The sequence below is a fragment of the Homo sapiens genome, chromosome 5 (genome assembly GCF_000001405.40).
Source record: "Homo sapiens chromosome 5, GRCh38.p14 Primary Assembly".
In the NCBI taxonomy this organism is placed as follows: Eukaryota; Metazoa; Chordata; class Mammalia; order Primates; family Hominidae; genus Homo; species Homo sapiens.
In genome coordinates, this window is record NC_000005.10 from 78376750 (window position 1) to 78390458 (window position 13709).

A 13709-nucleotide genomic window follows, 5' to 3' on the forward strand; every position below is an offset into this window, starting at 1 on the left:
AGACCAGTAAGGAGTTCATTGCCATTGACACATGAGAAATACTGGCAGATTGATCTCTGGGGTGGAGGAGGGATTTTTTTGTTTGTTTGTTTTTTGTTTTGCTTGTGTGCATTTTAAAGATGATCAAGACTTGAAATGTGAGGTATCTTGCTGGGAAGAAGCAGTTGAACATATGAGAGAAAAGGATAATTGACAGGGTGATCCTAAGAAAAGTTAGGAGGAGATTAAGCTTAGATATGAAGAAGATTTTCCCCCCTACCTTGGGGGAAAGGCTTCCTCCTTGCTTTTCCTTCCCTCCTCTTTTTTGCTTCCCTTTTCCTTTTTTTCCCCTAACCTCTAGACAATGTGGGAGGTAAGGAAAAAAAAAGCTGAGGCCCTTCTGATGATCTGCAGGACATTGTGAAAACTTCTGTAACACAAAGTCATTTCTCACCAGTTAAAATAACAGTAACCATATTTATTGGCTCTGTTTTTGCTTTGGTGACTCATTGGCAACTCTAGTAATTGCTGTTCCCCTCAGATGCTTTACCTGCTGCTCTCTGCTCCCTTTTCTGGCCACCTTCCTATAACTTAGCTTCTGTTTGTCACTCTTTCTACCATGGCTGTTGTCAGCTTCTACTGCTGCTGTTATAGTTCCCAATTTTATGTCTCATATTCAGTCTCCTCAAAAATGGGAATAGGATTGGATTGATTAGCAGTTAGTCAGTACCGAGTTGCTTCTGTTGGGCCTGCCAGGTTTCCTCGTGTCCAATTCTAAAGATAGTTGCCTTTGGCACAGAGGCCAGTTTCTTATTCTTAGTTATGTAGCCAAGTTAATAGGGTCACGTGACACAAAGATTGGGCAAAGAACTGCTTCTGGTTGCTTTCCTTAGAACATATTTTAAGGAAACACAGGTGGGTATTTTTTGTCCTATTCATTACCTAATATTTGCTATACTTTTTACAATTCTCAGTTAGCCATAGGTGGAGAGCTTTTTTGCTTGATCCTTAACTTACTGTTGGTGGTAATGATGATAGCAGCCTCACCTGTCACTTATTTGAGTCTTTCCCATGTGTGGAAACTATATTAAGCACTTTACATGTAGTAACTCATGAATTATATGATACATTTTACTGATGAAAAAACTGAGGTACAGTGAAATACGAAGTGACTTGTTCAAAGTTTATAGCTTCTTAGTAATGGAACTGGAATTTGAATACAGGCAGCCAGCAATCCGTAGCATAACATTTCTGAACTATGGGTGACCATTGTGATTATCAAATTTCCCCTTAATTTTGAAGATGAGAAAATCGAGAGAGTTTGAGTGACTTGCCTGATGTCACAGTATTGGTCGTTACCAGGTGCTCAGTTTCTGATTCCTAGACTAGTGCTTTTTTCTGCTACAGAACAAGTACCCAGGACATAGAAGGTTTTGGATACTAATCATGAAACCCAAGCCTGTGTTAGCAGATATCATAGTAAGTGTATATATAATGTATAGCTGTACAATAATCATCCATGTAGATTTTTATGTTATTAGACTACTATTTAGCTTAAAAATGACATATGTACAGAGAGAAATAAACAGGAGACTGAGCTTGATTAGTTATATAAGTTGATTGAGTCAATCTCCTTATTTCCAGCAGGTGAAAGCACTGTCTCCCAGGTTGCATCTTTCAGGTTATGTGTGGCAGTGATTAAGAAATATCCAATACAATGCATGGTGTAGGAGAGCATTTGGAATACAGTGAAGGTTCATTCCTCTGGAGAATTTGGTAGAGAAACCTAGTATTGAAGATATAAACTAATTGTGCTAGATGTAAACTTTTATTCTCTTGTTTGGAAAAACATTTGTTTTCATATCCATATTGATATTTTAGTGAAATATGAAGTAAACACTGTGAAGTAACACTGTAAAGTTAAGTGGCATTACTAGAGTATTGACAGAGTAGCCTTGGCTTAACTAATGATGTAAAGATATAACTCTAATGTCTATGCATAGTCAGATCCACATGATATTTAAATTAAACTCTGAAGAATATCTTTACTTGCTACTTAGAAGTTAATAAAATACAGAAGCCAAGTATGATCCTCTAAGTCAACAAAATAAGACTATCTGAGAATCTTTTCCTTATTAGAAATATAAATTCTCAGGCATCATCCCAGACCTACTGAATCAGAAACAAGGTACGTTCAGAGTGACGCTCAGCAATCTGGATTTTACAAGCCCTCCAGGTGACCGCAATGCGTGCTGAAGTTTGAGAACCACAGCCAAAGAAGAAACCAAATTATCAGTTGAAATAATTTTATTTTGATTATGTTGGAGAAGAAGAATAACATTTTCCTGCCACAGTTTTGGAATTATTAATAAGGAATTAGGAATTGGAAAGTCCTAGTTTAATTTTTGTCTCAGACATGCACTAATTGATCTTAAGGAAGTTTCCTGACCTTGTTTAAGGCCACAGCTTCTTTCTCTGAAAAATAGAATGATACAGTCTACCAGGAAAGATCATAGCAAAGATTGGAAATAAAAGTAAATGTAAAAGTAAATGCTGAATACTTAGTAGGCGTCAATATCATTTATCGTTACTTAATTCTTTTTCAGTTTTGTTGTCTTCTCCCAGGTTAGAGACTATGGCTTCCTCAACACTACAGTTGCTAAAGCTAATTTGAAACATTAATTATGTAATAATTCAGAGATATCAGTTCTTTACCTTCCTAAATCTAGTGTCATTCTTGGTATATTGTGTACATGCTTTAATGCTTTGTCATCTAATACTGCATTAGGAGAGTGAACTCAGTTCACTTGAGAAAATGATTTTATCAAATTGCCTGTTAACTTCTAGCCAGGATTAAATTTCTAGAATCTAGAAGGAAACAAGTGCACTTTAGTCACTGTAGTTGAAAGTAGAAAATTGGAAGAATGATTTTAGTCTCTTTGGAACTAAGTTATACCTTATTTATTTATTGGCTTTTAAAAGTATTTAAGGTGAATTTTAGCACACTCAAGATAATTAGATGTGTGTATTTGTAAAGTGAGAGTTGGACTCGTACTTCTGTGGCACTGAGAGAATGACGTTGATAGCGTGAATGTTGGCTAAGCAGGATTCATCTTTCTGATCCTACATTCTATCTCCCTCCTTTTTTCTTTTTGAGTTAATTTTGTTTTGTAATTACGAAAACATTTCATGGTTCCAAAGTAGAGGCTATAAAACAATGTAAAATTAAGTCTAGCTTCGAAGTCTATCATTTTTATTAGTTTTTGGATTACTCTTCCTTTTAAAAAACATAAACACACATTCATTTTTATCTGCCTTTTGCACCAAAGCTTAACATTTGTTTACACTCCTCTGCACCTTGCTTTTTTCACTCAGCCCATAGCACTTTTATATCTCCTTATACCATTTTACAACTGCATAATGATACTCAGCTGCATAGTACTTTATCATGTAGATTGTCATGGTTTATTCAGTCATCTTCTATTTATATATATTTAGGTTGCTTCCAGTCGATTAATTAGTGTGATGCTTCCATGTGGTTACAAATAGAATTTTGCTGATATTTCTTTGGAGTAGGTTCCTAGAAGTGAGACTGTGGGTCAAAGGATAAATGCAGATGTTATTTTGCTAGGTATTGCCAACTTGCCCTCCATAAAGGTTGTAACAGTCTTTATTCCCATTAGCAATGCATGAGAATGCCTGCTTCCTTACAGCTTTGTCAGTAGAGTATGTCAGACTTTTAGATTTTTTGCTAATTTGATAGGTGAGAAATGATTAAATCAGTGTAGTCTTAATGAGTGTTTCTTTTATGAATGAGATTAAACATCTTTTTATTTACACTTTTTGAACTATCTTTATGCTTATTTTTTTTCAAGAAGTATTTATTGGTTACTACTGCTGCTATTATCTTGAAGAATTACTCTTTGGGTATTTCCCCACAGAGGTGGTAATAATACTCGTTGAAGAAACAGAATATCACCAGGCATGTATGATTAAGAAGAAAAAAAGATCACTGATCACAGATCACCACAACAGATATAGTAAAAACATTTGAAGGCCGGGAGCGGTGGCTCATGCTTGTAATCCCAGCACTTTGGGAGGCCGAGGCAGGTGGATCACTTGAGGCCAGGAGTTCAAGGCCAGCCTGGCCAACATGGTGAAACCCTGTCTCTACTAAAAATACAAAAATTAGCCAGGCATGGTGACACATGCTTGTAATCCCAGCTACTTGGGAGACTGAGGCAGGAGAATCACTTGAATGGGGGAGGTGGAGGTTGTGGTGAGCTGAGATCGTGCTACGGCACTTCAGCAGCCTGGGCAACAGCAAGACTCCGTCTCAAAAAAAAAAAACTGTTTCTTGTTTCAAAGAGTTCACAGTCTAATTGGGGGAAGAAAAGGCTTGCATGAAGATTATCATCGTTCAGGGAAATCGATGTTGATGGAGCTCTCATAAGTGCTGTGGGAACATTGAGCGTGGAGTGGAGAGACTTGGGTAGAGGGAAGGTATCAGAAAGATCATTGCTTAGCATATGAGGTAATATTTAGACTGAGCCTGTAAGGAAGAGGAAGAGATTGCTAGGCTGACCCTGCTGGGAAAACTATTCTAACTAGAGGAAGCAACGCAAAGGAAGAGTATAACTGATATTTGAGGACTCACTGGTTACTGGTTTTGTAGATGATGGTGAGGGTAGGCATTGAGACTACAGCTGGACCATCTGGATTTGATGAAAGTGCTTGTTGATCCTAAACTCACTTCTAAATTAGGTTAACTTTAGCAATGCTAAGTTGAAAATTTTGATTAAAATGACATCTTTCTATTTTCTCAATTTTCTCACTGACACATGCCTTCTCTCTTGATAATCTTCTTGCTGCTTACACTTTTGGGTAAATTTTGGAGGGGAACCCTGGGAAAGTAAGTGGAGTGATTTCATTCCCTCTTTCCCATTTTACTGTTGAGCAAGACTAAAGCCTTTATGTTTTGTCTGTGTCATACTTTTAATTTATCCTTACTACTTGCTTTATGCCAAATTTGAGGCTCCTTATTCAGTAGGTTGTTTCATTTGGTTAAGGGAGAAAGATGTTTCTCATATGAATTTATAAGGCTGGAAAAATAGGCAGGCTAGATGGTTAGAAGCCTTGTATCTCATTTTAAGGAATTTGTGTTTTGTTTTATAGTTTGTGTAGAGCCTCTAAAAATCTGAAATGGATAAAGGACAGAGGAAAGAGGTTGGAGGAAGGGAATGGCAAGAATAGCTTTGCATTTTTGAGAGGTAAAGAATGGCTGTGTTGAGGAAGGTGAATTGGAGAAGGTACATGTAGACTAAAGAGCAAAAGTCTCCAGACCAGCAGAAGCAGTATCACCTGAGAACCTTTTAGAAATACAGGTTTTCAGACCCCACCCCAGACCTACTGAATGAGAAATTCTGGGGGTTGGGTGCAACACTCTGTGTCTTATTTGATTTTGATGCATACTAAAGTTTGAGACTAGAAATTCGAAGGTTAGCCTACATGACAGTTTGGAAAATGCTTTTCATGTGAATTATGTAGTTGACTTTTGTTGATGTTCATTATGCTGAGATGTTCATTATAAATGCTTTTCACATGAATTACATAGTTGATTTTGTTGAGATATTCATTATATGTATATACTTTATACACACACATACATATACTACAATTTTGTGATTCAGGTTTTTAAAAAATTTCAGTAGGTTTTTGGGGAACAGGTGGTGTTTGGTTACATGAATAAGTTTCTCACTGGTGATTTCTGAGATTTTGGTGCACCTGTCACCCGAGCAGTGTACACTGCACCCATTATGTAGTCTTTTATCCGTCACCCAACTCCCACCCTTTCCCATGAGTCCCTGAAGTTCATTGTATCATTCTTATGCCTTTGTGTCCTCATAACTTAACTCCCACTTGTGAGAACATACAATGTTTGGTTTTCCAGTCCTCAGTTACTTCACTTAGAATAATATCTCCAATTCCATCCAGGTTGCTGCAAATGCCACTATTTCATTCCTTTTCATGGCTGAGTAGTATTCCATGGTGTGTGTGTGTGTGTGTGTGTGTGTGTGTGTGTGTGTGTGTGCGCCACATTTTCTGTATCCACTCGTTGATTGATATGAATTTAGGCTGGTTCCATATTTTTGCAATTGCAAATTGTGCTGCTATAAACATGCCTGTGCAAATATCTTTTTCATATAATGACTTCTTTTCCTTTGGATTGATATCCAGGAGTGGGATTGCTGGATCAAATGGTAGATCTGCTTTTAGTTCTTTAAGGAATTTCCACCCTGTTTTCCATAGTGTTTGTACTAGTTTACATTTTCACCAACAGTGTAAAAGTGTTCCCTTTTTACCACATCCACACAAATATCTATTATTTTTTGATTATGGCTGTTTTTGCAGGAGTAAGTTGGTATCACATTGTGGTTTTGCTTTGCATTTCCCTGATAATGAGTGATGTTGAGCATTTTTCATATGTTTATGGGCCATTTGTACATCTTCTTTTAATAATTGTCTATTCATGTCCTTAGCCCACTTTTTGATGGGATTGTTTTTTTCATGCTGATTTGTTTGAGTTCCTTGTAGACTCTGGGTATTAGTCCTTTGTCAAATGTATAGATTGTGAAGATTTTCTCCTACCCTATGTGTTGTCTGTTTGCTGATTATTTCTTTTGCTGTGCACAAGCTTTTTAGTTTAATTAAGTCCCATCTATTATCCTTTTTTGTTGTTGTGTTTGCTTTTGGGTTCTTGGTCATAAAGTCTTTCCTTAAGCCAGTGTCAAGAAAGATTTTTCCAATGTTATGTTCTAGAAATTTTATGGTTTCAGGTCTTAGATTTAGGTCTTTGATCCATCTTGAGTTGATTTTTGTATAAGGTGAGAGATGAGGATCCGGTTTCATTCTTCTACATGTGGCTTGCCAATGATCCCAGCACCATTTGTTGAATAGGGTGTCCTTTCTCCACATTATGTTTTTGTTTGCATTATGGAAGATCAGCTGACGGTAAGTATTTGGGTTTATTTCTGGGTTCTCTATTCCATTCCATTGGTCTGTGTGCCTGTTTTTATACCAGTACCATGATCTTTTGGTGACTATGGCCTTATGGTATAGTTTGAAGTCTGGTAATGTAATGCCTCCAGTTTTGTCCTTTTTACTTAGTCTTGCTTTGGCTATGTGGGCTCCTTTTTGGTTCCATATGAATTTCAGGATTGTTTTTCTAGTTCTGTGAAGAATGATGATGGTATTTTGATGTTAATTGCATTGAATTTGTAGATTGCTTTTGGCAGTATGGTCATTTTCACAATATTGATTCTACCCATCCATGAGCATGGGATGTGTTTTCATTTGTTTGTGTCATCTATGATTTCTTTCAGCAGTGTTCTGTACTTTTCCTTGTAGAGGTCTTTCACCTCTTTGGTTAGGTATATTCCCAAGTTTTTTTTCTTTTTTTTTTTTTGCAGCTATTTTAAAAGGGGTGGAGTTCTTGATTTGATTCTTAGATTGGTTGCTTTTGGTATATAGTATGGCTGCTGATTTGTGTACATTAATGTTGTACACAAATGTTTTAGTTTCCTGAAACTTTGCTGAATTCATTTACCAGTTCTAGGAGCTTTTTGGATGAATCTTGAGGGTTTTCTAGGTATATGATCATGTCATCAGCAAACAGCAATAGTTTGACTTCCTCTTTACCAATTTGGATGCCCTTTGTTTCTTTTTCTTGTCTAATTCCTCTGGCTAGGACTTCCAGTACGGTGTAGAATAGAAGTGGTGAAAGTGGGCATCCTTGTCTTGTTCCAGTTCCTAAGGGCAATGCTTTCAAGTTTTCCCCGTTCAGTGTAATGTTGGCTGTAGGTTTGTCATAGATGGCTTTTATTACCTTAAGGTATGTCCCTTTTATGCCGATTTTGCTGAGGCTTTTTCACAAAGGGATACTGGATTTTGTCAAATGCTTTTTTTTGTCTATTGAGATGATCAGGTAATTCTTGTTTTTAATTCTGTTTATGTGGTGTATCACATTTATTGACTTGTGGATGTTAAGCCATGCCTGCATCCCTCTTATGAAACCACTTGATTATGGTGGATTATCTTTTTGATATGCTGTTGAATTTGGTTAACTAGTATTTGGTTGAGGATTTTTGCATCTCTGTTCATCAGGGATATTGGCCTGTAGTTTTCTTTTTTTGTTATGTCCTTTCCTGGTTTTGGTATTAGGGTGATACTGGCTTCATAGAATGATTTAGGGGGGGATTCCCTCTCTGTTTTTCGGAATAGTGCCAATAGGATTGATACCAATTCTTCATTGAATGTCTGATGGAATTCAGCTGTGAATCCATCTGGCCATGGACTTTTTTTTGTTGGTAACTTTTTAATTACCATTTCAGTCTCACTGCTTGTTACTGGTCTGTTCAGAGTTTGTATTTCTTCCTGGCTTATTCTACAAGGGTTGTATATTTCCAGGAATTTATCTGTCTCCTCTGGGTTTTCTAGTTTATTTGTGTAATGGTGTTTGTAGTAGCCTTGAATGATCTTTGTATTTCTGTGGTATTGGTTGTAATGTCTCTTGTTTCATTTCTAATTATGCTTATTTGGATCTTTTCTCTTTTTTTCTTGGTTAATATTGCTAATGGTCTATCAGTTTTATTTCTCATTTCAAAGAACCAGCTTTTTGATTCTTTTATCTTTTGTATTTGTTTGTTTCTATTTCATTTAGTTCTGCTCTGATCTTGGTTACTTCTTTTCTTCTTCTGGGTTTGGGTTTGGTTTGTTCTTGTTTCTCTAGTTCCTTGAGGTGTGACCTTAGATTGTCTATTTGTGCTGTTTCAGACTTTTTGATGTAAGCATTTAATACTATGAACTTTCCTTTTAGCACCACTTTTGCCATTTCCCAGCGGTTTTGATAGGTTATGTCACTATTATTGTTCAGTTCAAATAATTTTTTAATTTCCATCTTGATGTTAATGTTGACCCAGTCATCATTCAGGAGCAGGTTATTTAATTTCCATGTATTTTTATGGTTTTAAGGGTTCCTTTTGGAGTTGATTTCCAATTTTATTCCACTGTGGTCTGAAAGAGTACTTGATGTAATTTTGATTTCCTTATATTTGTTGAGACTTTTTTTGTCCCTATGATGTGGTCTATCTTGGGGAATGTTCCATGTGCTGATGAAGAGAATGTATGCTTGTATGTTCTGCAGTTGTTGGGTAGAATATTCTGTAAATATTTGTTAAGTCTGGTTGTCCTAGGGTATAGTTTAAATCCATTGTTTCTTTGTTGACTTTTTGTCTTGATGACCTGTCTAGTGCTGTCAGTAGAGTATTGAAGTCCCCCACTATTATTGTGTTGCTGTCTATCTCATTTCTTAGGTCTAGTAGTACTTGTTTTATAAATTTGGGACCTCCAGTGTTAGGTGCATATGTATTTAGGATTTTGATATATTCCTGTTGGACTATTCCTTTTATCATCATATGATGTCCCTCTTTGTCTTTTTTAAGTGCTGTTGCTTTAAAGTTTGTTTTGTCTGATATAAAAATAACTACTCTTGCTTGCTTTTGGTGTCCATTTGCATAGAATATCTTTTTCTAGGCCTTTACCTTAAGTTTATGTGAGTACTTATGTGTCAGGTGAGTCTCTTGAAGACAGCAGATAGTTGGTAAATTCTTATCCATTCTGCCATTCTGTATCCTTTAAGTGGAGCATTTAAGCCATTTACAATCAACGTTATTATTGAGATGTGAGGTACTGTTCTATTCATTGTGCTATTTGTTGCCTGAATACCTTTTCTTTTTTCTTTTTTTTTTCATTGTATTGTTTTATAGGGCCTGTGAGATTTATGCTTTAAGGAGATTCCATTTTAGTGTATTTTGAGGATTTGTTTCAATATTTAGAGCTCGTTTTCATAGTTTTTGTAGTGCTGGCTTTGTAGTGGCAAATTCTCTCAGCATTTCTTTGTTGGAAAAAAGTATGTATCCTTCATTTATAAAGCTTAGTTTTGCTGGATACAGAATTCTTGGCTGATAATTGTTTTCTTTAAGGAGATTAAAGGTAGGACCTCAGCTCTTCTAGCCTGTAGGATTTCTGCTGAGAAATCTGTTAATCTGATAGATTTTTCTTTATAGGTTACCTGATGCTTTTGCCTCACAGCTCTTTAGATTCTTTCCTTTGTCTTGACTTTAGATAACCTGATGACTATGTGCCTAGGTGATGATCTTTTTATGATGAATTTCTCAGGTGTTTTTTGAGATTCTTGTGTTTAGATGTCTAGATCTCTAGCAAGGCCGGGGAAGTTTTCCTCAATTATTCTTTCAAATATGTTTTCCAAACTTTTAGATTTCTCTTCTTCCTCGAGAACAATTATTCTTAGGTTTGGTTGTTAAACATAATCCCAAACTTGTTGGAGACTTTTTTCATTTTTTAAAACTCTTTTTTTCTTTGTCTTTGTTGGATTGGGTTAATTCGAAAGCCTTGTGTTTGAGCTCTGAAGTTCTTTCTTCTACTAGCTCGATTTTATTGCTGAGACTTTCCAGTACATTTTTCATTTCTCTAAGTGTGTCCTTGGTTTCCAGAAGTTGCGATTGTTTTTTATTTATGCTATTTCACTGAAAATTTTTCCATTCATATCCTGTATCTTTTTTTTTTTTTTTTAATTTCTTTAAGTTGGCCTTTACCTTTCTCTGGTGCCTCCTTGATCGGCTTAAAAGTTGACCTTCTGAATTTTTTTTCTGGAAGTTTAGAGGTTTTGTCTTGGTTTGGATCCATTGCTGGTGAGCTAGTGTGATCTTTTCGGGGTGTTAACCTTGTTTTGTCATATTACTGGAATTGTTTTTTTTGTTTCTTCTTATTTGGGTAGACTATATCAGAGGGAAGATCTGGAACTCAAGGGCTGCTGTTCAGTTTCTTTTGTCCCACGGGGTGCTCCCTTGATGTGGTGCTCCTCCCTTTCCTGTACGGATGGGGCTTCCTGAGAGCTGAACTACAGTGATTGTTATTTCTCTTCTGGATCAAGCCACCCAGTGGAGCTACTGGGCTCTGGGCTGTTACTGGGGACTGTCTGCAAAGAGTCCTGTGATGTGATCCATCTTCAGGTCTGTCAGCCATGGATACCAACACCTGTTCCCGTGGAGGTAGCAGCAGAGTGAAGTGGATATTTTTAAGTACGCTGGTTTTGTGTTGGTTGGCCTCCAGCCAGGAGGTGGCACTTTTAAGAGCACATTAGCTGCAGTAGTAGGAGGAGGATCAGGCGGTGGCAGGACCATAGAGCTCCCAAGAGATTATGTCCTTTGTCTTCGGCGTTCCTCGGCTGTCCCAGGAACCTGCAGCAGCAATCCACCTTCTTCAAAGGGTCTGTGGATTCTCTCGGATTTCCTGGTATGTTCCTGCATAGTTTTTGGAGCAAGAGGTTCACGATGTAGGTCTCCACGTGCTGCTCTGTCCATTAAGTGGGAGCTGCAAGTTAGTATTGCCTCCTATCTGCCATTTTCCCTCTCACTGTGTGATTTGGTTATTTTCATGAAAGCCTACTATTAAAAGATTTGAAAAATTGGAATGGTGTGATCATGTATTATACTTGGAAAAGGGAAGACAGTCTATGATCATGTGGTGAAATAAACTACAGTAGAGATATTGGAGTAGAATAAAACAAGAGTTACTTAATATTGAATGCTCTAGATGTTGGCTGTATGACATTGATTTGTAATGCAGTATGAAATCTTCAGTGGGACAAACTGAAGCTGTTATAAAAAGGGGGAACGTGAACTCTTTGTCGAGGCCAAAGGAAATGATGGTGGGTCTACCTGAGATGCTTTTGTGTAGTCAGTTCCACACAGCTATTAAGAGGTGGTCTACTTTTTATCTTGATGTAATAGCTTGCAGCTGATTTGAATCTAACTCAGTTTTTGTTTTCCTTTGAGAATGTGAAGGTTGTATGGGTTTAAATTTCACCATTGTTGAAATGAGACAGTAAATCTGAGAGCCTTCTTTTATTTTCCTCTGTTAGCCTTGCTGCATGACCACAAGTATAGATAAAGCAAATGGTATGTAAATATCAAAATTATTTTTTAAAGGATAAGTAATCTTTTTTTTCTCCTTTGAATTTTATTCTAGGATCCATCAGTTACACAAGTGACAAGAAATGTTCCACCAGGACTTGATGAATATAATCCATTCTCGGATTCTAGAACAGTAAGATTATTCTTGCTTTTAAATGTTTAAATTGAAATTCAGTAGGAATTCTATTTTAACTATGATTTCTTTTTTAGTGGATTGCTTACACTTAAATAAAACAAATTGTTAATGTTTTATTTAGTATTCAGCAAACTTGGATTTTTTTAATATGTAGAAATATTAGTAGTAATTGAAGATTACCATGATGATCCTAGTGAAATACTTCAAATTTTCTTTTATGTTTTACAGATTAAATCACAATAATCTTTCTAAAATGTAAACTTTTCCACATTACTTGAAATACTAGGAATTAGAGAAATATTTCTTGGTATACATGTTGTCTGCCTGATAATGTGGGGTGATTTTTTTTTACGTGGAAACTGTGTAGAACTGTACCATGAATGTTTGTATGATTGTCATTTGAATTAGATTATTCTGAATAGTACTAGCCTTCTGTTCTGGCAGAGTAGAACCTCTGGAACTTTACCCAGACTAGGAAAGCATATTTTTCCCCTCAAAATTTAGTATTTTTTTCTTTTAAAAATTTATTTATTGTAGAGACAGTGTCTTCTATGTTCCCCAGGCTGGTCTTGAACTCCTGGTCTCAATCCATCCTCCCACCTCAGCCTCCCAAAGTGCTGCAACTACAGATGTGAGCCGTGGCGCCTGGCCTCAAAATTTAGTTTTGATTTATAAAATGTACAAGTATGAAAAAAATCCTCATAAAACAGTGTTTTGCTACTCTAGATGTATATGAGAAGCATCTAGGGGACTTTATTACACTACCCCTTATGGCCCTCATCTCTTAGAGTTAGGGCAATTTTTTTTTTAAAGTTCTTTTGATGATTTTATTGTGACCTAGATTTGAAAACTGTTGAGGTAGATTCTGTTGAGACTATCTCCAGAATTTCTGTGGCAAATAATTTCATCTCCTGTATTTGGGTCTGCCTCCAATACTTTTGTTACCTTGCCCTGTGCATCTCTTCTATTTGGCTGTTCCTGAGTTGTGTCCTTTAGTAAGCTGCTAATAGTAAGTAAACTGTTTCCATGAGTTCTGAGAGCGCTTCTAGAAAATTATCAAATCCAAGGAGAGGGTCATGGAAACCCCCAGTTTATAGAAAGTTAGTCAGTATGGGCGGCAATCTGTGACTTGTGACTGGTGACTTGGGACTTGTGACTGGTGTCTGAAATGAGCCCTTAACCTGTGGGATCTGTGATAGTCCAGGTAGGTAGTATCAGAATTGAACTGAGTTGTAGGACATCTAGATGGTGTCCAAAGAGTTGGGGAATTGGTTGGTGTTGGGGGAAAAAACCCCACACATTTGGTATCAATAGTATTGTTGGTAAAAACAGTCCAAAAGTAAAAGCATTAAAATAAGAATGAACTTTTAAATTTCTCTTTATTTCAAAGCCCTCATTTAACAGCCTTTGCTTATATGTAGCAAATTAATTCCAGGTTGGGATCACTAAAGTGCTCTTTGAGCATGTAAATTACAGGTTAAAACATGTGAAATGGCCAATAAGCTGACCAGTTTTGATATATAAAAATGGTGGTTTCATAT

General features: G+C 36.6%; 1 protein-coding gene across 4 annotated transcripts in view; it reads left to right on the top strand.

Moving 5' to 3' along the window:
• The window catches only part of SCAMP1 (secretory carrier membrane protein 1), a 120123-nt gene that overhangs the window by 16133 nt on the left and 90281 nt on the right, over nt 1–13709 (top strand). For 3 of the 4 annotated variants that reach the window (NR_110885.2, NM_004866.6, XM_011543727.4), the window contains exon 2: nt 12088–12165. The exons of the other annotated variant lie outside the window; for it this stretch is intronic. Coding sequence is in view for 2 of the 3 variants with exons in the window: in NM_004866.6 (NP_004857.4) it covers nt 12088–12165 (78 nt within the window). In the remaining variant the exon portion in view is untranslated. The remainder of the gene's footprint in view (nt 1–12087; nt 12166–13709) is intronic. 4 annotated transcript variants of the gene reach the window in all.